The sequence below is a fragment of the Homo sapiens genome, chromosome 7 (assembly GCF_000001405.40).
Source record: "Homo sapiens chromosome 7, GRCh38.p14 Primary Assembly".
Taxonomy (NCBI): Eukaryota; Metazoa; Chordata; class Mammalia; order Primates; family Hominidae; genus Homo; species Homo sapiens.
In genome coordinates, this window is record NC_000007.14 from 105,340,991 (window position 1) to 105,367,952 (window position 26,962).

The 26,962-nt window shown below is 44.0% G+C and overlaps 1 protein-coding gene and 1 pseudogene across 26 annotated transcripts in view, besides 2 other annotated features; both read right to left on the reverse strand.

Annotated features, from left to right (window-relative positions):
• The window catches only part of SRPK2 (SRSF protein kinase 2), a 284,618-nt gene that overhangs the window by 226,251 nt on the left and 31,405 nt on the right, over positions 1-26,962 (reverse strand). The window lies entirely within an intron of this gene.
• Positions 346-847: an enhancer, noted in NCBI's record as "H3K27ac hESC enhancer chr7:104981783-104982284 (GRCh37/hg19 assembly coordinates)". NCBI's record gives its function as "activates a minimal SCP1, AML or CMV promoter by ChIP-STARR-seq in primed H9 embryonic stem cells {active_cell/tissue: H9 hESC(primed)}" and the evidence as "EXISTENCE:reporter gene assay evidence [ECO:0000049][PMID:30033119]".
• Positions 11,364-11,443: an enhancer, noted in NCBI's record as "active region_26461". NCBI's record gives its function as "activates an Ori minimal core promoter by ATAC-STARR-seq in GM12878 lymphoblastoid cells {active_cell/tissue: GM12878}" and the evidence as "EXISTENCE:reporter gene assay evidence [ECO:0000049][PMID:35858748]".
• LOC124901716 (small integral membrane protein 12-like) lies at positions 12,811-17,002 on the reverse strand (annotated as a pseudogene).

Consider the following 26,962-nt stretch of genomic DNA (forward strand, 5'->3'; position numbering starts at 1 on the left):
TGATTAACGGATGATGTCACAAAAGCATGCATTGGGGAAAAGGCAATAGATTTATCTCACGCAGGATATGGCCAGAAAAAAAAGAAAACCATAGGCCCGGTGCAGTGGCTCATGCCTGTAATCCCAGCACTTTGGGAGGCCAAGGCAGGCAGACCACAAGGTCAGGAGTTCGAGACCAGCCTGACCAACATGGTGAAACCCCATCTCTACTAAAAACACAAAAATTAACCAGGCGTGATGGCGCAGGCCTATAATCCCAGCTACTCAGGAGGCTGAGGCAAGAGAATCACTGGAACCTGGGAGGCAGATGTGAGCCAAGATCGTGCCACTGCACTCCAGCCTGGGCGAAAGGGCGAGACTCCGTCTCAAAAAAAAAAAAAAAAAAAAAAAAGGGGGAATGTGGCAGGACGCATACCTCATGCCTGTAATCCCAGCACTTCGAGAGGCCAAGGCAGCTGGATCGCTTGAGGCCAGGAGTTTGGGACCAGCCTGGTCAGCATAGCACAACCCCATCTCTACTAAAAATACAAAAATTAGTCAGGCATGGTGGTGCACACCTGTAGTCCCAGCTACTTGGGAAGCTGAGGCACAAGAATCCTTAAGCTCAGGAGGCAGAGGTTGCAGTGAGCCAAGATGGCATCACTGCATTCCAGTCTAGGCAACAAAGCAATTCTGTCTCAAAAATAAAAAAACAGGGGACGGGAGTGGTGGCTCACGCCTGTAATCCAGCACTTTGGGAGGCTGAGGTGGGTGATCACCTGATACCAGGAGTTCGAAACCAGCCTGGCCAACATGGTAAAACCCATCTCTACTAAAAATACAAAAAGTTAGCCAGGTGTGGTGGCCCGCGCCTGTAATCCCAGCTACTCGGAACGCTGAGACAGGAGAATCGCTGGAACCTGGTAGACAGAGGTTGTAGTGAGCCGAGATCGTGCCACTGCACTCCAGCCTGGCTGCCAGAGCGAGACTCTGTCTCAAATAAATAAATAAGGGCTGGGCAGGGTGACTCATGCCTGTAATCCCAGCACTTGGGGAGGCCAAGGTGGGCGGATCAGCTGAGGTCGGGAGATCGAGACCATCCTAGCTAACACAGTGAAACCCCATCTCTACTAAAAATACAAAAAATTAGCTGGGCATGGTGGCACATGCCTGTGAAACCCCGTCTCCACTAAAAATACAAAAAATGAGCCAGGCATGGTGGCACATGCCTGTAATCCCAGCTACTCGAAAGGCCAAGGCAGGAGAATCTCTTGAACCCGGGAAGCAGAGGTTGCGGTGAGCCGAGATCGCACCACTGCACTCCAGCCTGGGCGACAAGAGCAAAACTCCGTCTCAAATTAATAATAATAATAATATTAATAATAATAATTAAATAAAATAAAAATATAAATGGGAAATGTGATTTTTGTAGAATCTGAAACATTCCTAGGACTGTCCAGCTTATTAGCGTTAAAATTACTGCTATGTCAGAGAAGCCTACAACATCAAATATAGCCATATAAAAATTTCCTCAAAAAGAGTTGCCTAGGCCAGGCACAGTGGCTCACACCTGACACAAGAAAAGGATCTTTCCTAACATGCTGTTTGCCTAGCTCCCTGGTCTCACCTCCCAACACTCTCCACAAAGACATTAAACTCAACACATACCAAATTACTTCCAGAATCCACCTTGTTCTCGCTCTCCTCCATGCCCCCGTATATACGCTGCTTTTCTCTCACTGAAAAAGTTACATGCTCTCCCTAACTTTGTCATTCTCCTCCCACACAGCCCCACATACCCAAACTATGGATTTGACCTGGATAGGGAAAAACAGATAAGCTTCAAATAAACAAGAAGAGGAAAGGAGGGACAATAAAATGGAATATATAAAAGTCTAGAATGGGAAAAGGTGAAACAGAGCCAAAAAGAGGCAAAGGAATAAACTGCTGAGCTAGTACCCAAATACAAATGACATAAAAAATGTGCTAAGGGCCTGAAAAATTTATTTCTAAACCCAAACCTACTCCCAAGAGGCCCTGCAGGTAGGATGTGTTCACAAGTTAAATAAAAGTTTGCAGATAAGTGGTAAGAGATGGTAAAGAAGGTGGACAGAAGGCTTCAAGGAGGACTTGAAAGTCCTGAATGTCTGAATGGCAAACATTTGTAAAATGTGTCACTATTGGCAGGAGCAGTGGTTTGCACCTGAAAACCCAGCAATTAGGGAGGCAAAGGTGGGATGATTGCTTGAGTCCAAGAATTTAAGACCAGCCTGGGCAACCTTAATGAAACCCCATCTTTACAAAAAATACAAAAACTAGCCAGGTATGATGGCACGTGCCTGTAGTCCCAGCTATACAGGAAGCTGAGGTGGGGGGATCACTTGAGCCCAGGAGGTTGAGGCTACAGTAAGCCAAGGTTTCACCAATGTACTCCAGCCTGGGCAATAGAGCGAGACCCTGACTCAAAAAAAACAACAACAAAAGTCACCATTATTAAGATAAACAGTACTTTAGCAGTAATGGAGTCTTTGACATAGGACAAGGTGAAGGCCAGGAAATCTGCAGACATCTGTGTGTTCAGGTGTCCAATCCTCCACCAGAATATAGGCTCCATTAGCAAAGAACCCTTGTTCATACATCCTTTAATTTCCTACATACGTTTTCTAACTAACAGTGCATTTCCATTTTAGCACTTTGTGTTTCAATATTCTGTTCAATTATGATTACAAATGAATTATAAGTCCCCATTTTTCATAAATCTTTATCTCTTAGTTTACAATGTCATATCTTTTTTATTTTTTATTTTTTTGGAGATGGAGTTTTGCTCTTGTCGCCCAGGCTGGAGTGCAATGGTGCCATCTTGGCTCACTGAAACCTCTGCCTCCTGGGTTCAAGCGATTCTCCTGCCTCAGCCTCCCAAGTAGCTGGGATTACAGGCATGCGCCACCACACCCGGCTAATTTTTGTATTATTAATAGAGACGGGGGTTTCATCATGTTGGCCAGGCTGGTCTCGAACTCCTGACCTCAGGTGATCCACCCGACTCAGCCTCCCAAAGTGCTGGGATTATAGGTGCGAGCGACCACGCCTGGCCTACAATGTCATATCATTCTATTTTTTCAAAAGCATTCTCCCCAGAGGTTAGCAAATGCTTTCTGCAAAAAGGAAAATGGTGAACCTTACAAAACCATAAGGCTTTGTAAGCAATATGGTCTCTCTCAAAAACACTCCAACTCTGCCACTGTGGCACAAAGGCACACAGACAATATGTAAACAAAATGAATATGCTTGTGTTTCAAAAAAACTTTATTTATGGACATAGAATTTTTTTTTTCTTTGAAGATTATAGCTCAGTGCAGCCTTGAACTCCTGGGCTCAAGTGATCCTCCCACCTCAGCCTCCCAAGTAGCTAGGACCCCAGGTGTATGCAGCCACACCTTTTTTTTTTTTTTTTTTTTTTTTTTGGTAGAGATAGGATATCACTATATTGACCAGGGTGTTCTCAAATTCCTGGTTTCAAGTGATCCTCTTGCCTCAGTCTCCCAAAGAGTACCTGGGCTATGCACTGAAATCTGAATTTCCTGTAATGTCACAAAATCTTCTGAATTTTTTCAATCATTTAAAAAACATAAAAGCTATCTTACAAGCCATACAAACACACATGACAGGCTATATCTGGCCAGCAATCCACAGTTTGCAGACCCCTGCTCTACACTCTAACTTAAAGATTTGACTATACAACCCTTCCACTATTCCATATTTCCAAAGTACCACAATTAACTTTATTTGCAAGTCTTTCTGGCCTCTGGGAAATGAACAATTAGGCATTCTTCTGATTTAAAGCCATTCAGGTTCACCCACACTCACACTTAAAAAAAAAAAAAAGGCCAGGAGTAGTCACTAACACCTGTAATCCCAACACTTTGGAGGCCGAAGTGGGTGGATCACCAGAGGTCAGGAGTTCAAGACCAGCCTGGCCAACATGGTGAAACCCTGTCTCTACTAAAAACACAAAAATTAGCTGGGGGTGATGGCAGCAGCCTGTAATCCCAGCCACTCAGGAGGCTGAGGCAGAAGAATCACTTGAAACCAGGAGGCGGAGGTTACAGTGAGCCAAGATCGCACCATTGCACTCCAGCCTAGGCAACAAGAGGGACACTCCATCAAGGACAGGAGAGGAGGGGAGAGGGCAGGGGAAGGCAAGGGAGGAGAGGAGAGGGGAGGGGAGGGGAGGGGAAGGGAGGAAAGGAAACTTGCTTATCTAGTTTCTGATTTAAAACACTGAAGGAAGGAAAGGGGGATTTTAAGTAGCAGTGTAAATGACACAAAGAACAGTAACAACTGTTCTATTGATGTCAAATGTCAAGAGTCCATTATGATGAATCTCAATTCTCAGTCTCAACTTCTCTCCCGTAGATTGAAAAACTAAAATCTAAACAGTAGCTTTTGAGTTTGATGAGATACCCTAAAGTCATTCTCACATTTTAAAGAAATGCCAAAAACTAAACAAATGAATAATATGACCAAGCATATCGCAAGAAACGAAAAAAAATTCATTATAAGGAAAACACATTATATGTGCTATGTAACAATTGTAAGTTATTACAGGGAATAACATGAAAGACAACTGAAACAGCTTATCTTTCAAAGGATGAAAACTTCTCAAACTCGTTCATCTATATATTCATTCATATTTATTTTACACATGAACATGTCAATGTGTTTGGAATACAAGTAGGGCAAGAAATTGGTGTCCAAAACAGACATGGTCTGTGAGCTCTTGGGCCTATGTTGTTCTACATCTGCTCTTTCCATTATCATAGCCATCAGCCCCATGTAGCTATTTAAATTTAAATTAGAGTTAAATAAAATTAAAAACCGGTTCCTCAGTCACACTAGTCACACTTCACATGGCCAAGGGCCAGCTTTCAGCTATGATACTGGACATCACAGATACAGAATGTTTCCATAATCACAGAAAGTTCTGTTCGGTAGCAAAGGTTTAAAACGTTACATACTTCCCTCTCTCTGCTGACTAGACATTAAGATGAAACTTAACTTCTTTCTTTTAAAAAAGAGTGCAAAATTTTACTGCTGTCTTTTAGGGAAGTACCAGGTGACAGTCTTTCTACAGGTGTACTTTATATCAAAGCTGTAAAAACTTCTAAGGTTTTCTAATCCAGCAAAATAATCACCAAATGCCTTTACCAAGGTTTTAAAGTTTTTTAAAAAATTCCTGGAGGTAAGTATTTCATCATCAGTAACTATTCCAATTTACTAATTGGCTTCAAACCATTCTCAACTGCATTCACAACTGCAGTATTTCCTTTCCTAGAAAGTGAAGGATTCTGCACTTAACTGATTATCACATAACTCTCTATGATGCAGAAAACAGCTCCTGCTTGTCACCTCTGCATGGTGACTGGAACACAGAGGGTACTCAAACAACTGTTATATGAAGGTCAATAAACTGTAAGTCTCCAGCACTGTCAAAAGCAACACAAGGCCAGGTGCAGTGGCTCATGCCTATAATCCCAGCACTTTAGGAGGGCAAGGCGGGCGGATCACGAGGTCAGGAGTTCAAGACCAGCCTGGCCAATATGGTGAAACCCTGTCTCTACTAAAAACACAAAAATTAGCCAGGCATGGTGGTGTGCGCCTGTAGTCCCAGCTACTCGGAAGGCTGAGGCAGAAGAACTGATTGAACCCCAGCAGGCAGAGGAGGTTGCAGTGAGCCAAGATCGCACCACTGCACTCTAGCCTGGGTGACAGCGCAAGACTCCATCTCAAAAAAAACAAGCAACAACAACAAACCCACAAAAGCCACATTCCATTTCACAACTCTAGTTACTGATGGAGCTTCCAGTCTTTGCTGCTTCTCATTTGTTAAAAAAAAAAAAAAAAAACTTTATTCACTGCATGATTTAAGCAGCACCAAACTGCTTGGGTATCGGTTTTCTGGGTCCCTGAAAATCAAGGACTTACTAAACAGTAAAAATTCTACATGAAGAAATAAAATATTGCACACTGCCCGGGAACCATAAAATTAATATAAATTAATTTATCTTTTACTTGGCTATGAGATAGACTGGCTTTTTTTTTTTTTAAGATTAAGGTTTCATTCTGTCACCCAGGCTGAAGTGCAGTGGGCATGATCATGGCTCACTGAAACCTCCACCTCTGGGCTCAAGCAATCCTCCCACCTCTACTCAGCCTTCTAAGTAGCTGGGACTACAGACATGTGCCACCGCGCCCGGCTAATTATTTAATTTAGTAGAGACAGGGTCTTGCTATGTTGCCCAGGCTGGTCTTAAACTCCTGGACTCAAGCAATCCTCCGGCTTCAGTCTCCCAAAGTGCTGGGATTACAGGCCACCATGCCTGGCTAATTTTTTCTTTAATTTTTGTAGAGACAGGTCTCACTAGCCCAAGCTGGTCTCAAATTCCTGGACTCAAGTGATCCTCCCACCTCACCCTCTCAAAGTGCTGGGATCACAGGAGTGAGCCACCATATTGACCACAGACTGGCTTATAAATATGTGTAACTACAGTGAGATATTCAGCCGAAGAATGAGGGGGAGGGGGAGGAGGAGGAAGAATTATGGCTGGGCATGACGGCCCATGCCTATACTCCCAGCACTTTGGGAGACTGAGGCGGGAGGATCGCTTGAGTCCAGGAGTTTGAGACTTGCCTGGGCAGCCTGGCAAGACCCCCATCTCTGCAAAAAAATTTTAAAAATTAGCCAGGCATGGTGGCACAAACTTGTGGTCCCAGCTACTTGGAAAGCTGAAGCAGGAGAATTGCTTGAACCCAGGAGGCAGAGGTTGCAGTGAGCTGAGATGGCACCACTACACTCCAGCCTGGGTGACAGGGCGAGACTCCGTCTCAAAAAAAAAAAAAAAGAAAGAAAAGCGGTAGCTTGCACAATTAATTCTAAATTACATTAACAAAGACATCTCAAATGTCTCAACTACTCATGAAAGACAGCTGTATCAAAATTGCACATTTCCTTGAAAACAGAAATCAAAATGTTTTCAAATTAGTCCATACCAGTGACATATACCATTAATATTAATGAGAATATGGCTGCTTGGCAAACTTTTTTTTTTTTTTTTTTTTTTTTTGAGATGGAGTTTCGCTCTTGTTCCCCAGGCTGGAGTGCAATGGCGCGATCTCACTGCAACCTCCGCCTCCCGGGTTCAAGCGATTCTCATGCCTCAGCCTCCTCAGTAGCTGGGATTACAGGCATGGGCCACCACGCCCGGCCAATTCTGTATTGTTAATAGAAACGGGGTTTCTCCATGTTGGTCAGACTGGTCTGGAACTCCTGACATCAGGTGATCCACCCACCTCGACTTCCCAAAGTGCTGGGATTACAGGTGTGAGTCACCGCGCACAGCAGTCAAACTTAATAAGCCACTATTTGGTATAAAATGCCTTTGAACTTTTTTCTTTCTTTTTTTTTTTTTTTTTGAGATGCAGTCTCGCTCTGTTGCCCAGGCTGGAGTGCAATGGCATGATCACGGCTCACTGCAACCTCCACCTCATGGTTCAAGCGATTCTCCCGCCTCAGCTTCCTGAGTAGCTGGCATTACAGGCACCCGCCATCATGCCGGACTAATTTTTGTATTTTAGTAGAGATGAGATTTCACCATGTTGGCCAGGCTGGTGTTCAACTACTGACCTCAGGTGATCCAACTGCCTCGGCCTCCCAAAGTGCTGGAATTACAGGCGTGAGCCACCATGCCCAGCTGCATTTGAACTATTTTCTAACCAAACTAGTTCTGCCCAATCAGATGATACACTTTAAAAAAAAAAATTTATCTAAAGAAAGTTATCATTCATGCCAGCACTGAAAACAGAAAATAAAAAATAAAAAATGAATATATCAGAGCAGCCGGGCGCAGTGGCTCACGCCGTAATCCCAGCACTTTGGGAGGCCAAGGCGGGCAGATCACCTGAGGTTAGGGGTTCGAGACCAGCCTGGCCAACATGGTGAAACCCCATCTCTACTAAAAATACAAAAATTAGCCGGGCGTGGTGGCGCTTTCCTGTAATCCTAGCTACTTGGAAGGCAGAGGCAGGAGAATCACTTGAACTCGGAGGCGGAGGTTGCAGTGAGCCTAGTTTGCATCACTGCACTCCAGCCTGGGCAACAGAGTGAGATTTTTGTAGAAAGAGAGAAAGAAAGAGGGGGAGGGGAGGGGAGGGGAGGGGATGGAGGGGAGGAAGAAATCAGAGCTTGTCAAGAACCTACGAAAGAATTAAGGGGGCCAAGCATGGTGGCTCACGCCTGTAATCCCAGCACTTTGGGAGGCCAAGGTAGGCGGATCACTGGAGGTTGGGAGTTCAAGACCAGCCCGACCAACATGGAGAAGCCCCATCTCTACTAAAAATACAAAATTAACTGGGCATGGTGGCGCATGCCTGTAATCCCAGCTACTCAGGAGGCTGAGGCAGGAAAATCGCTGGAACCTGGGAGGCGGAGGTTGCAGTGAGCCGAGATCACACCATTGCACTCCAGCCTGGGCAACAAGAGTGAAACTCCATCTCAAAAAAAAAAAAAAAAGAATTAGGAAAAGAGAGTAATAACATATAGTAGCATTAAAGTACAACCACACCTTAATATCCTATGTAATCAGAGATTCTTCACAAATATCCATGTGAAAGTCCTAGGGTCAAGGACTGGCTAAGCCCAAAAAACCAGAGATAACTGAACAGACACAGCAGGAAGAAAAGAGTAAATAGCAAAGTTACTATTTATTGAACGGTGCCTGTCTTTTTTTTTGAGCTGGAGTCTCGCTCTGTCGCCAGGCTGGTGTGCAGTGCCGTGATCTCAGCTCACCGCAACCTCCACCTCCCAGGTTCAAGCGATTCTCCTGCCTCAGCCTCCTGCATAGCTGGGATTACAGGCACATGCCACCACACCTGGCTAATTTTTGTATTCTTAGTAGAGATGGGGTTTCGCCATGTTGGCCAGGATGATCTCAATCTCCTGAACTTGTGATCCACCTGCCTCAGCCTCCCAAAGTGCTGGGATTACAGGCGTGAGCCACTGTGCCTGGCCAAACAGTGCCTGTCTTAATACAGCAGGCATTATGCTAAATATATCACCTGAATTTTTACTTAATCCTCACAATAACCCTGTAGTTGCTATAATTTTTTTTTTTTTTTTTTGGAGACAAGAGTCTCTCTCTGTCACCCAGACTGGAGTACAGTGGCTCAATCTCAGCTCACTGCAACCTCCGCCTCCCCTGTTTTAGGTAATTCTCCAGCCTCAGCCACCCGAGTAGCTGGGATTATAGGCACATGCCACCAAGCCTGGCTAATTTTTGTATTTTTAGTAGAGACAGGGTTTCACCATGTTGGCCAGGATGTTCTCGATCTCCTGAACTCGCATCCACCCACCTTGGCCTCCCAAAGCGCTAGGATTACAGGCATGAGCCACCGCGCCTGGCCGAACAGTGCCTATCTTGATACAGCTGGCATTATGCTAAATATATCAGCTGAATTTTTACTTGATCCTCACAATAACCCTGTGGTTGCTACAATTTTTTTTCTTTTTTTTTTTTTTTTGAGACGGAATCTCTGTCACCCAGGCTGGAGTGCAGTGGCTCAATCTGAGCTCACCGCAACCTCCGCCTCCCCCGTTTCAAGTAATTCTCCTGCCTCAGCCTCCCAGGTAGCTAGAACTACAGGCATACGCCAACACACCCAGCTAATTTTTGTATTAGTAGAGACGGGGTTTCTCCATATTGGCCAGGCTGGTCTCCAACTCCTGACCTCCCCACCTTGGCCTCCCAAAGTGCTATAGTTGCTATAATTAATCCCATTTTACAAATGAGAAAACTGAGGCACACAGATAGCTTAAACATGTTCAGATTACATGGCTATTAAGCCATTACACAGCAGGATTAGGGTAAGAAGCCACGTCTGCCAGCCAACCCTATACTACATTAAAGTTTACAGAGCCTATCTTACGCGCTTTATCTATTTGCTACCACCCTGTGATATGATTTGAATGTTTATCCCATCTGAAACTCACGTTAAAACTTAATCCCCAATGTGGGTATTATGAGGCAGGTCTTTAAGAGGTGACTGTGTCATGACGGTTCTGCCCTCATGAATGGAACCTATTCATGGATTAATGAGTTAACGAATTTTAACGGATTATCCTGGGAGTGCGACTGGTGGCTTTATAAGAGGAAGAGACCTGAGCTAGCACACTCAGCCCCCTAACCATGTGATACTCTAGGCCACCTTGGGACTCTGCAGAGTCCCCACCAGCAAGAAGGTCCTCATTAGATGCACCCCTTGACCTTGGCCTTCCCAGCATGCAGAACTGAAAGAAATAAATTCCTTTTCTTTATAAATTACCCAGTCTTAACCAGGCCCACCCCTGGTTAAGGATGGGCAACAGGCTCACCCCTGTAATCCCAGCACTCTGGGAGGCTGAGGAGGGCGAATCACCTGAGGTCAGGAGTTTGAGACCACCCTAGGTGACAGAGTTACACTCCGTCTCAAAAATAATAATAATAATAATAAATCACCGGCCGGGCGCAGTAGCTCACACCTGTAATCCCAGCACTTTGGGTGGCCGAGGCAGGAGGATCACCTGAGGTCAGGAGTTTAAGACCAGCCTTGCCAAAATGGTGAAACCCCATCTCCACTAAAAATACAAAAAATTAGCTGGGTGTGGTGGCCGGCACCTATAATCCCAGCTACTCGGGAGGCTGAGGCAGCAAAATCGCTTGAACCCGGGGGGCGGAGGCTGCAGTGAGCCAAGATTGTGCCATTGCACTCCAGCCTGGGAGACAAGAACAAGACTCCATCTCAAAAAAAAAAAAAAAGAAGAAGAAGAAGAAGAAGAAATAAATAACCCAGTCTCAGAAATTCAGTTACTGCAACAGTAAACAGACTAAGACACCCTTATAATCCACTGTAAAGCAGGCTGTGCAGTTTGATGATCCCCAGTCTCAGAAATTCAGTTACTGCAACAGTAAACAGACTAAGACACCCTTATAATCCACTGTAAAGCAGGCTGTGCAGTTTGATGATCCTATTTTCCTAGAGAAAATAAGAGATTCAGGAAGGATGAATCATTCCCTCCCTATGGAGCAAGCAGCAGAGCTGGGTCTAGAATCCCCGTCTTTTAACTCTTCACCACTGTTTCTCCTCCTCAATATGCTTAGCTAGTGTGGTGGTTTCAAAAATATGTTCACAAATTACTTAATTTGCATCTCTTCAAAGGGCAGAACCTGAACTCTCCCTTGAGTGTGGGCTGTACCCAGTAACTCCCTTCTAACAAACGTGGCAGAAGTGGCAGTGTGAGGTCTTCTAAGGGTGTGTTATAAAAATGTAACCGCAGCTTCCTCCTTGCTCCCTCTTGATGAAGCCAGCTGACATGTTGTGAGAACATTCAAGAAGAGGTCCACAGAGCAACAGGCAAGGCCTCCTGCCAACAGCCTGGAAGCAGATCCTCCAGCCTCAGCCAAGCCTTCAAAATGACTGCAACCCTGAGCCAGAACCACCCCACTCAACTGCTTCCAAATTCTTAACCCACAGAAACTAAGATGATAAATGTTGCATTAAACCACTATGCTTCACAGTAACTTGTTATGTGGTAATAAATAGCTAATACAACTAGGGGCTGGGTGTGGTGGCTCACGCCAGTAATCCCAGCACTTTGGGAGGCCAAGGTGGGCAGATTACTTGAGGTCAGGGTATCGAGACCAGCCTGGCCAACATAGTGAAACCCAGTCTCTTACTAAAAATACAAAAATTAGCTGGCTGTGGTGGCGCACGCCTGTAATCCCAGCTACTCGGGAGGCTGAGGCAGGAGAATTGCTTGAACCCAGGAGATGGAGGTTGCATGAGCCAAGATTGCACCAGTGCACTCCAGCCTGGGTGACAGAGCGAGACTCTATCTCAAAAGAAAAAAAAAAAAGCTCTTGGCTAGTCATCAGAATTACATGATCCCTCCCTTAATTTCACACAGTAAATGCCAGTACCTCTATTGGTTAACATTCTATTCCACCTTGTGTCACTGCTAGTTGTTTACCTGCCTATCTCTGAGACTAAGTCATAAATCCCTTATTATCTAAGGTTCAATTTTCTCATCAGTAAAATGAAAGGGTTAGATTAAGTAATTGCTAAGGAACTCCCAACTCCAAAGTTCCATAAGGATGACTCTTAATTGAAAAAAGTAAGATAGCACAGTTGTAAGCTTCGACTTGGTAGTTTTAAATCTCAGCTCTACAACCTATCAGCTCTAAACAATGGGCCTGCTGCTGAACATTTCTGTGCCTCAGTTCCTCATCTGTAAAATGAGAATAATAGTGCTGTTAGAATTCTTCCAGGTAATGGTTTTGTTTTTTTGTGTTTTTTTTTGAAACAGTCTCCCTCTGTCACCCAGGCTGGAATGCAGTGGTGCAATCATGGCTCACTGCAGCCTTGACCTCCTGGGCTCAAGCAATCCTCCCATCTCAGCCTCCCAAGTAGCTGGGATTACAGGAGCGTGCCATCCAGCCCAGTTTGTTGTTGTTGTTGTTGTTGTTGTTGTTGTTGTTGTTGTTTGGTGGAGACAGGGTTTTGTCACGTTGCTCAGGCTGGTCTCAAACTCCTGAGCTCAAATGATCCGCCTTCTTTGGCCTCCCAAAGTGATGGGATTACAGACTGCCTTCAAGCAAATTCATCAGGCCCATGTTCCTGAATGCCCCAAGGTGAGCAGTAAGGAACAGAAAAACACTTTCCTTCTCCAGAAAATCCCACTCCTGAGCTGATAGGAGGGGATCTCAGAAAGAATCATCACAAAAGACAGGACAAACTAAAGAAGCTGGCAGACTTTTTTAATTCTTCCCAGTACAAACTGGAACTAGACATGCAGAGAGCCTTCCTAAAGGCAACGCCCAAATCCCACGTGAGGCCAAACTTCTCCCCAGGGAGACTGAGAGCCAATGTTCTTATCATAACACTCCTCCCCACAGTGCACCCACAGACAAGGAAGCCTGAGCAGTTGTGGCTGTCACACAACAGATGCAGCGTTCAGGCCAGAACCTTCCAGGACCTTCCTCTTTGCTGGCCCAACAGCTGCTGCATCTGCCTGGCCTTCGAGGAGCAGCCAGTATGTATGTGGCTGTGTGGAGCAAGAATGTGCCAAAATAAGCAACCAAGTCAATCAGAGATGGGTTTGGGGCTAAGTTGACATGGTAACAGGACCAGTCACAGGTCTCCCCATGTATGGTGGGACCACAGAGCCCTATGTCCTCCATTCATTCTTCTCTGGGCAGTTTCTGTCCAGGACAGCTATGGGGCAAATTCCACCTTATCCTTAAGACTCACCACCTGGGTGTGCGTGGCTCTTGCCCGGCAGCTCATCCAGCTCATCCACCCTGTACTCAGAGATGCTTTTTTCCTCCTGCACAGGCTGTGGGTCCTTTCCCCTAACGAATCACTCCAGGTAGTAGCCCACAGTCCTGGCCACAAAGGCCACAGGGTATGTAACTTAAGTAGCATAGGTAAGCATTACGATCCAAAGCACAAGCCACACATCATCAGGCAGCCTGGCACAATTTACTGGGAATCCACTCATGCATAGCAATGCAAGAGATCACACCCTGTTTTATGCAACAGTTGGGTACCACAAATAATCTGCAGCACAGCCCATACTCCTCTGTCCAGCCCTGGTCTCTACCTGCTGGCTGGGAACAGACATTGCTACTCCTAGCAGCCCACATGGCCTCCTGTTGTTTTTTAATAACAACTACAGTCAGATATATAACTCACATGTACAATTCACCCAATTAAAGTGCACAACTTAATGACTTCAGTATATTCACAGAGCTGTACAACCATTACCAAAATCAATTTTACAGTATTTTTATCACCCCAAAAAGAAACACATACCCATCAACAGGCACGCCCCATATTTCCCCCTCCCCACCAGCTCTAGGTAACCATAAATCTACTTTCTGTCTCTATGAGTTTGCTTATTCCAGATATTTGATATAAATTAAATCATATTAATAAGTGGTCTTTCATGACTGACTTCTTTGATCCAGTATAATGTTTTCAAGATATATCCATGTTGTAGCATGTAACAGTACTTCATTATTTTTACTGCTGAATAATATTCCATTGTAAGGATATGCTACATTTTGTTTATTCATCAACTGACATCTGAGTTGTTTCCATCTGGCTGTGATCAACAATGTTGCTCTTTCAGTTTTAAGTAACAGAAAATACAGCAGGGCACAGTGGCTAACGCCTATAATCCTAGCACTTTGGGAGGCCACAGCAGGAGGAGTGCTAGAGACCAGGAGTTCAAGACTAGCCTGCGCAACACGGCAAGACCTCATCTCTACGAAAAAAAAAAAATTTTTTTTTCATTAGCAAGCAAGGCACAGTGGCTCACGCCTGTAATCCCAACACTTTGGCAAACAGAGGCAGAAGGATCATTTAAGCTCAGGAGTTTGAAACCAGCCTGGGCAACATTACAAGACCACATCTCAACTGAAAATAAAAATTTTTAAAAAATTAGCCAGGCATGGTGGAGCACACCTGTGGTCCCAGCTACTCAGAAGGCTGTGGTGGGAGGACTGCTTAAGCCTGGGAGGTCAAGGCTGCAGTAAGCCATGATAATGTCACTGTGTTCTAACCTGGGTGAGAGAACCTGTCTCCAAGAAAAAAAAGTGATAGAAAATCCAAATCAACCCTGCTTAAACAAATAACTAAACGTCAAGCAGGCAGCCTTTGCATAAGACACAGCCTGAGTTAGGGTTTAAATATCACCATCAGGGCCAAGCACGGTGCCTCACGCCTGTTACCTCAGCACTTTGGGAGGCTGAGGCAAGCAGATCCCTTGAGGTCAGGAGTTTTGAGACCAGCCTGGCCCACATGGTGAAACCCCGTCTCTACAAAAAATACAAAAATTAGCCAGGCGTGGTGGCATCTGCCAGTAGTCCAGCTACTTGGGAGGCTGAGGCAGGAGAATCACCTGAAACTGGAAGGCAGAAGTTTCAGTGAGCTGAGACCATGCCACCGCACTCCAGCCTGGATGACACAGTGAGACTCTAAAATAAATAAATTAAATTAAATAAATAAATATCACCATCAGGATTGAGTTTCTAACTCTTGGCAAGGCTCAGTTCTCTGTTCATTTTCAGGATCTGCATGGTGACAAAATGGCTTCAATACCTCTATTTCACATCCTCTCCATTGAAGCTTATAGGAGAAAGCAAGAGCCTCTCCCAAATCCTCATGCAAAGGCCCTAAGATTAGCTCTGGGTGGGCTCTCCAACTGAAAAGTGGAAGGCACTAAGTAAAATAGGCCGTGCTCCATCCTGGAGCATGAAGGAAACTAGAGAGAAACCCAAACAATGTGAACCAAAAATGGACAAGAGATAATCCCTATACAAAAACTGAGGCCCATTTCGACTAGGATAAATGGAATCTGGGCAGCTGAAAAAATTTTTAAGCCCAGTTTAGAGTGTTGTGACAATTAAACCTGATAAATGCATATTAAAGTATGTAGCAGAATGCCCAATACACAATAAATACTTAATAAATGTTACTCACTATATTAGCTATTTTTTGTAGCTAATATAGTGAGTAATTTAGATAAACCCATGAAATTTGATAGTTTGGGGCAAAAAAAGACAATTTCACACAGTTCAACATCATACATACTCAGCTTAAAATTAAGGCAAGTACAACCTGTATTTGCTTTTTCATAGTGAAATGTAAGTCTGCATCTCTATTAGATATATTAAATACCCAAAAGAAGGAACAGTTATTTCCAAAATTTTCAAAACCTTGGGTTAAAAATGCAAGTATCTCTTCTTTAACAGAGATTTCTCTGGTCCTGTGGAAGATACATGATAGAGGCAAAATATGAGAAATGAAAGACCCTGAGACAGCTAGTACTCCCAAAGCATCTGCTACCCTAACAACACTATGGTAAAGGCCTTATGTGTATCCACCTTCTCCTTTATCAGCTAAAGCTCCCAACTAAGACTATTAAATCTTTTCATAGTAAACCATCACTTGATTTTTTTAGGTAAACACTAATTTTTTTTTTTTTTTTGAGACGGAGTCTCGCTCTGTCGCCCAGGCTGGAGTGCAGTGGTGCGATCTCGGCCTCACTGCAAGCTCCGCCTCCCAGGTTCATGCCATTCTCCTGCCTCAGCCTCCCGGGTAGCTGGGACTACAGGCGCCCACCACCACGCCTGGCTAATTTTTTGTATTTTGTTTAGTAGAGATGGGGTTTCACTGTGTTAGCCAGGATGGTCTCGATCTCCTGACCTTGTGATCCGCCTGCCTCGGCCTCCCAAAGTGCTGCGATTACAGGCGTGAGCCACTGCGCCCAGCCAAATAACACTAATTTTTTAAAAAACTGCTGGAGTCCTCCATTCCTTTCATCATGTCTTAGTCTCCTCCCTGTCCCTTTATTTTAGTTTGAAATTACAAACCTAAATAGAGATGACCTGCTATAAACAATAAATATCTCTTCACTATTTCTAGATCTGATGTAATACCAGCCGAGATTGGTGGATCACCTGAGGTCAGGAGTTCAGGACCAGCCTAGCCAACATGGTGAAACCCCATCTCTACTAAAAATACAAAAAATAGCCGGGTGCGGTGGTGTGCGCTTGTTACCCCAGCTACTCGGGAGGCTGAGGCAAGAGAATTGCTTGAACCCAGGAGGCGGAGGTTACAGTGAGCCAAGATCACACCATTGCACTCCAGCCTGGGCAACAAGAGCAAGACTCCGTCTCAAAAAACAAAAAAAACAATAACAAAACAAAACAAAAAAAAGATTCAAAGATAAATGAGGCTTTGGAGAAATGGGAACTATCAAATCTCTGGTAAATAAGATAGCCTTTGCCCATACAGGGGAAGCACAACTGATCCTTGAACAACGCAGGGATTAGGGAAGCCACCCCCATCTCTGCACAGTCAAAAATCCACATACAGGCCAGGCACAGTGGCTCACGCCTATAATCCCAGCACTTTGGGAGGCTGAGGTGGGTGGATCACAAAGGTCAAGAGATCAAGACCATCCTGACCAACATGGTAAAACCCTGTCTCTAGTAAAAATACAAAAATTAGTTGGGCGTGCTGGCATGTTCCTGGAGTCCCAGCTACTCAAGAGGCTGAGGCAGGAGAATCGCTTGAACCCGGGAGGCGAAGGTTGCAGTGAGACGAGATCACGCCACTGCACTCCAGCCTGGGCAACAGAGCGAGACTCCGTCTCAAAAAAAAAAAAAAAAAAAAAACACCCCACGTACAACTTCTGACTCCCCAAAAACCAGAAGCCTTATCAATAACATAAACAGTAGATAACACACATTTTGTATGTTATATGTATTATACACAATATTCCTACAATAAAACAAGATAAACAAAAGAAAACTTTATTAAGAAAATCATAAGGGGCCATGCATGGTGGCTCACACCTATAATCCCAGCACTTTGGAAGGCTGAAGCAAGTGGATCACTTGAGCTCAGGAGTTCAAAACCAGCCTGGACAACATGACGAAACTCAGTCTCTATTAAAAACACAAAAATTAGCCGGGCATGGTGGTTCTTGCCTGCCGTGTCAGTTACTTGGGGATCTGAGGTGGGAGGATCACCTGAGCCCGGGAGGCAAAGGTTGCAGTAGGACGAGGTCATGCCACTGCACTCTAGCCTGGGCAACAGAACAAGAGACCCTGTCTCAAAAAAGAAAAGAAAGAAAAAATCATAAGGAAGAGAAAATATATTTACTATTTGTCTTAGTCTATTTTTGCTGCTAAAGAAGGAATATCTAAGCCTGGGTAATTTATTAATATAAAGAAAAGAGATGTATGTGGCTCATGGTTTTGCAGGCTGTACAACAAGCATGGCACCAGCACCTAATTTCAGTGAGGGTCTCAGGCTGCTTCCACCCATGCTGGAAGAAAGGGGTGCTAAGAACACAGAGAGAGAGAGAGAGAGAGAAAGCAAGAGTGGAGGTGGAGGTGCCTCTTTTCAACAACCAGTTCTCTGGAAACTAAGAGTGAGAAGCAAGAATGACACCTCAAGCCATTCAAGAGGGATCCACCCCCTACAATCCAAACACCAGGCCCCACCACCAACACTGGGGTATCAAATTTCAACATGAGGCTTGGAGAGGTCAAACAAACCATATCCAAACCACAGCTTTTTTTTTTTTTTTTTTTTTTTTTGGAGACAAAGGCTCGCTCTATCACCCAGGCTGGAGTGCAATGGCGCGATCTTGGCTCACTGCAACCTCTGCCTCCCGGGTTCAAGCAATTCACCTGCCTCAGCCTCCCAAGTAGCTGGGATTGCAAGCGCATGCCACCATGTCCAGCTAATTTTTTTTATTTTTAGTAGAGATGGGGTTTCACTGTGTTAGTGAGGATGGCCTCGAAGTCCTGACCTTGTGATCTGCCCTCCTTGGCCTCCCAAAGTGACAAGATTACAGGCATGAGCCACTGTGCCAGGCCCACAGCACTATTTATTAAGTGGATCATCATAAAGGTCTCCATGCTTATCAACTTCACAGTAAAAAAGACGTCAAAAGCAGTCTTCAATAATCAGAACGCCTCTGCTTAATTGTCTAACGTCAATTTGTTTTATGGCACTGCTGCTGCTATGTCATCTTCCTCATCGTCTGGCAGTGGTATGGAAGCACTCATTTCCATCAAGTCATCTGATAATTCCTGTGGTGTGATGTCTACTGGCTCTTGAATTTCTCACAATCCACATCTGGAAACCGTTCATCCTTCCAACCCCCACCTTTTTTGCCATATCTACAATCTGTTTCATGATTTCCTTGACTATAAATCTTGTGATCAATTTTAGAATAAGTGCGATGTGGTGCTGAGAAGAATGTATATTCCGTTGATTTGGGGTGGAGAATTTTGTAGATATCTATTAGGTCCGCTTGGTGCAGAGCTGAGTTCAAGTCCTGGATATCCTCGTTAACCTTCTGTCTCGTTGATCTGTCTAATATTGACAGTGGGGTGTTAAAGTCTCCCATTATTATTGTGTGGGAATCTAAGTCTCTTTGTAGGTCTCTAAGGACTTGCTTTATGAATCTGGATGTTCCTGTATTGGGTGCATACAGATTTAGGATAGTTAGCTCTTCTTGTTGAATTGATCCCTTTACCATTATGTAATGGCCTTCTTTGTCTCTCTTTTGTTCTTTGCTGGTTTAAAGTCTGTTTTATCAGAGACTAGGATCTCGACCCCTGCTTTTCTCTGCTTTCCATTTGTTTGGTACATCTTCCTCCATCCCTTTATTTTGAGACTATGTGTGTCTCTGAAGGTAAGATGGGTCTCCTGAATACAGCACACTGATAGGTCTTGACTCTCTATCCAATTTGCCAGTCTGTGTCTTTTAATTGGGACATTTAGCCCATTTACATTTAAGGTTAATACTGTGTGAATCTGATCCTGTCATTATGATGTTAGCTGGTTATTTTGCCCATTAGTTGATGCAGTTTCCTCATAGCATCGATGGTCTTTACAATTTTTTTTGCAGTGGCTAGTACCAGCTTTTCCTTTCCATATTTAGTGCTTCCTTCAGGAGCTCTTGTAAGGCAGGCCTGGTGGTGACAAAATCTCTCAACATTTGCTTGTCAGTAAAGGATTTTATTTCTCCTTCACTTATGAAGCTTAGTTTGGCTGGATATGAAATTCTGGGTTAAAAATTCTTTTAAGAATGCTGAATACTGGCCCCCACTGTCTTCTGACTTGTAGGGTTTCTGCCGAGAGATCCGCCGTTAGTCTGATGGGCTTCCCTTTGTGGGTAACCCGACAGGCCTTCATGCTAAAAACTCTCAATAAATTCGGTATTGACAGAACGTATCTCAAAATAGTAAGAGCTATTTATGACAAACCCACAGCCAATATCATACTGAATGGGCAAAAACTGGAAGCATTCCCTTTGAAAACTGGCACAAGACAAGGATGTCCTCTCTCACCACTCGAATATTCAACACGTTGCTGGAAGTTCTGGCCAGGGCAATCAGGCAAGAGAAAGAAATAAAGGGTATTCAATTAGGAAAAGAGGAAGTCAAATTGTCCCTGTTTGCAGATGACATGATTGTCTATTTAGAAAACCCCATCATCTCAGCCCAAAATCTCCTTAAGCTGATAAGCAACTTCAGCAAAGTCTCAGTCAATGTACAAAAATCACAAGCATTCTTATACACCTATATACCAATAACACACAGAGAGCCAAATCATGAGTGAACTCCCATTCACAATTGCTACAAAGAGAATACAATACCTAGGAATCCAACTTACAAGGGATGTGAAGGACCTCTTCAAGGAGAACTACAAACCACTGCTCAATGAAATAAAAGAGGACACAAACAAATGGAAGAACATTCCATGCTCATGGATAGGAAGAATCAATATCGTGAAAATGGCCATACAGCCCAAGGTAATTTATAGATTCAATGCCATCCCCATCAAGCTACCAATTACTTTCTTCACAGAATTGGAAAAAACTACTTTAAAGTTCATACGGAACCAAAAAAGAGCACGCACTGCCAAGACAATCCTAAGCAAAAAGAATAAAACTGGAGGCATCATGCTACCTGACTTCAGACTATACTACAAGGCTACAGTAACAAAAACAGCATGGTACTGGTACCAAAACAGATATATAGATCAATGGAACAGAACAGAGGCCTCAGAAATACCACCGCACATCTACAACCATCTGATCTTTGACAAACCTGACAAAAACAAGCAATGGGGAAAGCATTCCCCATTTAATAAATGGTGCTGGGAAAACTGGCTAGCTATATGTAGAAAACTGAAACTGGATCTCTTCCTTACACCTTATACAAAAATTAATTCAAGATGGATTTAAGACTTAAATGTTAGACCTAAAACCATAAAAACCCTAGGAAGAAAACCTAGGCAATACCATTCAGGACATAGGCATGGGCAAGGACTTCATGACTAAAACACCGAAAGCGCCTGGCAACAAAAGCCAAATTGAAAAACAGGATCTAATTAAACTAAAGAGCTTCTGCACAGCAAAAGAAACTACCATCAGAGTGAACACGCACTACAGAATGGGAGAAAATTTTTACAATCTACCTATCTGACAAAGGGCTAATATCCAGAATCTACAAAGAACTTAAACAAATTTACCAGAAAAAAAATCAAACAACCCCATCAAAAAGTGGGCGAAGGATATGAACAGACACTTCTCAAAAGAAGACATTTATGCAGCCAACAGACACATGAAAAAATGTTCATCATCACTGGCCATCAGAGAAATGCAAATCAAAACCACAATGAGATACCATCTCACACCAGTTAGAATGGCGATCATTAAAAAGTCAGGAAATGGCCGGGCGCGGTGGCTCACGCCTGTAGTCCCAGCACTTTGAGAGGCCAAGGCGGGTGGATCACAAGGTTGGGAGATGGAGACCATCCTGGCTAACTTGGTGAATGGCCTGAACCCAGGAGGCAGAGCTTGTAGTGAGCTGAGATCACGCCACTGCACTCCAGCCTGGGCGACAGAGCAAGACTCTGTCTCAAAAAAAAAAAAAAAAAAAGTCAGGAAACAACAGGTGCTGGAGAGGATGTGGAGAAATAGGAACACTTTTAAACTGTTGGTGGGACTGTAAACTAGTTCAACCATGTGGAAGACAGTGTGGTGATTTCTCAAGGATCTAGAAATAGAAATACCATTTCACCCAGCCATCCCATTAACGGGTATATACCCAAAGGATTATAAATCATGCTGCTATAAAGACACATGTACATGTATGTTTACTGTGGCACTATTCACAATAGCAAAGACTTGGAACCAACCCAAATGTCCATCAGTGATAGACTGGATTAAGAAAATGTGGCACATATACACCACGGAATACTATGCAGCCATAAAAAAGAATGAGTTCCTTTGTAGGGACATGGATGAAGCTGGAAACCATCATTCTAAGCAAACTATCGCATGGACAGAAAACCAAACACTGCATGTTCTCACTCATAGGAACTGAACAATGAGAACACTTGGACACAGGATGGGGAACATCACACACCGGGGCCTGTCGTGGGGTGGGGGGAGAGGGGAGGGATAGCATTAGGAGATATACTTAATGTAAATGATGAGTTAACGGGTGCAGCACACCAACATGGCACATGTATACATATGTAATAAAGCTGCACGTTGTGCACATGTACCCTAGAACTTAAAGTATAATAAAAAATAAATAAAAATAAATAAAAAATAAAAGAAACTACCATCAGAGTAAACAACCTACAGAATGGGAGAAAATTTCTGCAATCTACCCATCTGACAAAGGGCTAATATCCAGAATCTACAAAGAACTTAAACAAATTTACAAGAAAAAATCAAACAACCCCATCAAAAAGAGGGCAAAGGATATGAACAGACACTTCTCAAAAGAAGACATTTATGCAACCAACAGACACATGAAAAAATGCTCATCATCACTGGCCATCAGAGAAATGCAAATCAAAACCACAATGAGATACCATCTCACACCAATTAGAATGGCAATCATTAAAAAGTCAGGAAACAACACGTGCTGGAGAGGATGTGGAGAAATAGGAACACTTTTACACGGTTGGTGGGAGTGTAAATTAGTTCAACCCTTGTGGAAGGCAGTGTGGTGAATCCTCAAGGATCTAGAACTAGAAATACCATTTGACCCAGCCATCTCATTACTGGGTATATACCCAAAGGATTATAAATCATGCTACTAGGCTTACTACACATGCACATGTATGTTTATTATTGCGGCACTATTCACAATAGCAAAGACTTGGAACCAACCCAAATGTCCATCAATGATAGAGTGGATTAAGAAAATGTGGCACATATACACCATGGAATACTATGCAGCCATAAAAAAGGATGAGTTCATGTGCTTTGCAGGGACATGAATGAATCTGGAAACCATCATTCTCAGCAAACTATCACAAGGACAGAAAACCAAACACCGCATGTTCTCACTCGTAGGTGGGAGCCGGACAATGAGAACACATGGACACAGGGCGGGGAACATCACACACTGGGGCCTGTCGTGGGGTGGGGGGCTGGGAGAGGGATAGCATTAGGAGAAATACCTAATGTAAATGACAAGTTGATGGGTGCAGCAAACCAACATGGCACATGTATACATATGTAACAAACCTGCATGCTGTGCACATGTACCCTAGAACTTAAAGTATAATTAAAAAATAATAAAATAATTTTTAATAAAAATCCTTTGAAGTCATGCACATCTGGACAGTCTTCTCCAGCAGGAATTTGTTTCAAGCCTGATGGTTTTCATTGCTTTTTCTGTAACAACAATGGTATCTTCAGTGGTACAACCCAGACATTCATGATGGTCTCTCTATTGAGTTCTCTTCTGCTGCACTGAAAAGCCTTTCCATAGCATACCGTGTGTAACGTTTTTTTTTTTTTGAGAAGGAGTCTCGCACTGTCACCCTGGCTGGAGTGCGGTGCCATGATCTTGGCTCACTGCAACCGCCACCTCCCAGATTCAAGCGCTTCTCCTGCCTCAGCCTCCCAAGTAGCTGGGATTACAGGTACCCGCCATCATGCCTAGCTAATTTTTTTTGTATTTTTAGTAGAGACGGGGTTTCACTATGTTGGCCAGGCTGGTCTCAAACTCCTGATCTCGTGATCCGCCTGCCTCGGCCTCCCAAAGTGCTGGGGTTACAGGGGAGAGCCACCGCGCCTGGCCGAGTCTTAAAGGTCCTTAAGGCTCCCTGATGTAGAAGCTAAATTAGAGACATTGTGTTTGGGGGCAAGTAAACTACTTCCACACCTTCTGTGCTGAACCCCTGGGGTTCTGGATGGTCAGGGGCATTGTCCAAAATCAAAAGAACTTTAAAAGGCAATCTCTCACTGGCTAGGTATTTCCTGACTCCAGGGACAAAGCATCAATGGAATCAATCCAAAAAAGGGTTCTCATTGTCCAGGACTTCTTGTACAACCAAAGGACTGGCAGCCAGTATTTCTCTTATCCCTTCAAGGTTCAAGGTTAGCAGCTTTACAGACAAGGGCAGTCCTGATCATAAACCTGACTACATTTGCACAAAAGAGTAGAGTTAGCCCATCCCTTCCTGCCTTAAATCCTGGTGCTTACTTCTTTTCCTTACAAATTGGATTAATGTCCTCTATGGCAATTTTTTTCCAGAATGGGGCACTTCCATCTAATGGGGCACTTCCATCTGGCATTTAGGGCCAGGCACAGTGGCTCACGCCTGTAATCCCAACAGTTTGGAAGGCTGAGGCGGGTGGATCACCTGAGATCAGGAGCTGGAGACCAGCCCGGCCAATATTGTGAAACCCGATCTCTACTAAAAATACAAAAAATTAGCCAGGTGTGGTGGCGGGTGCCTGTAATCCAAGCTACTCAGGAGGCTGAGGCAGGAGAATCGCTTGAACCCAGGAGGCGGAGATTGCAGTGAGCCGAGATTGCACCATTGCATTTCCAGCCTGGGCAACAAGAGCGAAATTCTGTCTCAAAAAAAAAAAAAAAAAAAAAATTATATATATATATATATTTAGGCCAGGTGCAATGGCTCTCACATCTGTAATCCCAACACTCTGGGAGGTCAAGGCAGGAGAATCGAAGACGAGCCTGGGCAACACAGGGAGACTGAGTCTCCACAAAATGATTTAAAAATTAGCTGGGCGTGGTGGCGTGTACCTGCAGTCTCAGCTACTCGGGGGACTGAGATGGGAGGATCATGTGAGCTTAGTAGGTCAGGGCTGGAGTGAGTCATCATGCCACTTCACTCCGGCCTGGGAGAACAAAACTCTATCTTTTAATTTAAAAAAACAAAAAACAGAAACTATTCAGGCAGATAGCCTTTCTCCTCAATGATTTTATTTCTTCCTTTTTTTTTTTTAGACGGAGTCTCGCTTTGTTGACAGGCTGGAGTGCATGGCGCGATCTCGGCTCACTGCAACCGCTGCCTCCAGGGTTCAAGTGATTCTCCTGCCTCAGCCTCCCAAGTAGCTGCGACTACAGGCGCACGCTACCACGCCCAGCTAATCTTTGTATTTTTAGTAGAGACAGGGTTTCATGATGTTGGACAGGATAGTCTTGATCTCTTGACCTTGTGATCCGCCCACCTCGGCCTCCCAAAGTGCTGGGATTTCAGGCATGAGCCACCGCACCCGGCCTAATGATTTTCTTAATGGTGTCTGGGAACTCATACGCTGCCACTTGGTGGCTTCTCCTGCTATCTCCTCATTTCTTAAGGCAAACCTCTAAAATTATCAAACCATCTTTTGCTGGAATTAAATTCTATAGCTTTAGATCCTTCCTCTTTTGCTTTACAGTTGTCATACAGTGACTTTGCTTTTTCTCTAATTGTATTAGCATCTACAGGTATGCCTTTTTTTTTTTTTTCTTTTTGAGACGGAGTGTCACCCTGTCGCACAGGCTGGAATGCAGTGGCATGATCTTGACTCACTGCAACCTCTGCCTCCCGGCCTCAAGCAATTCTTCTACCTCAGCCTCCCAAGCAGATGGGACTACAGGCGTGCACCACCACAACCAGCTAATTTTTGTATTTTTAGTAGAGGCAGAGTTTCACCATATTGGGCCAGGCTGATCTCAAACTCCTGACCTCGTGATCCGCCCGCCTCAGCCTCCCAAAGTGCTGGGATTACAGGCGTGAGCCACCAGGCCCAGCCAGGTATGCCTTTCTTATTGCAATCCTGCACCCACATAAAAGCTGCATTTTCAATACAAGATAAAAGAATATTTCACAAGAAGTGTGAGATTTTCATGCATGCTGGTATAGCTGCAACAATGGCTTCATGAATTTCCTTTCCTTTTTTTCACTATAGTCATGTATGCTGAATTCATTTATCTTTAAATGGCAGGCAAACATAGAATGCACTCATTCTAAGATGCATATCAAGCAATTTGACTTTTTCTTGTAACATCATGACATTTCTCTCCTTCCTGGGAGCACTTCCAGTATCACTAGTGTCACTCCGTGAGTCCCATGGTGTTATTCAAAGTTTACAGACTTGCACTAAACATAGTGAAATATATGTAAGAAAAATATGAGATCACCTTTTTTTTTGTTTTTTTTTTTGTTTGTTTGTTTGTTTTAGGATAGTCTCGAACTCCTGAGCTCAAATGCTCCTCCCACCTGGGTGTCCCAAAGTGCTGGTATTACAGGTATGAGCCACCACACCTGGCAGAGATCACTTTTTACCAAGATACGCAATTTACTGGAGACAAGCTACCCACATGGAGATAACTGGCATCACAGGGCTTTGTTTTGTTTTGTTTTTGAGACAGGTTCCGGCTCTGTCACCCAGGCTGGAGTGCACTGGCATGATATTGGCTCACCGCAACCTCGGCCTCCTGGGGTCAAGCAATCCTCCCGCCTCAGCCTCCTGAGTAGCTGGGACTATAGGCACGCACCACTACACCCAGTTAATTTTTGTATTTTTTATAGAGACGGGGTCTCACCGTGTTGCCCAGGCTGGTCTCCAACTCCTTGGCTCAAGCAATCCACCCACCTCAGCCTCCCAAAGAGCTGGGATTACTGGCATGAGTGACCACACCTGGCCAGTTACAGGGCATCACAGGGATACTTCCAACACTTGAGCTCACTGCAAAAGCAACAGGAGGTAGCTACAAAGTTATTACAGCAGTATGGCATATACTACAGTTAATTCCATGCAGTTATGATTTAACACTGCACCTTTATGTTTGCACTTCTCTTGACTGCAAATAGTGCCGTGTACAGTCTGTACACACACATTTTGTGTACATTTCATGTTGGTAAATGATAAAACAGGCTAGCATCTACAAATATTTTAAGCATTCATGACATACCTTTTTAATGTTTTTAAATATTTCTAGGGTACATAGTTCAAGTTTTTTCAAACTGCAGAAAATCTCCAAAAAATTTACCAATATATTTATTGAAAAAAATTTCCACAGGACAAACACATGTT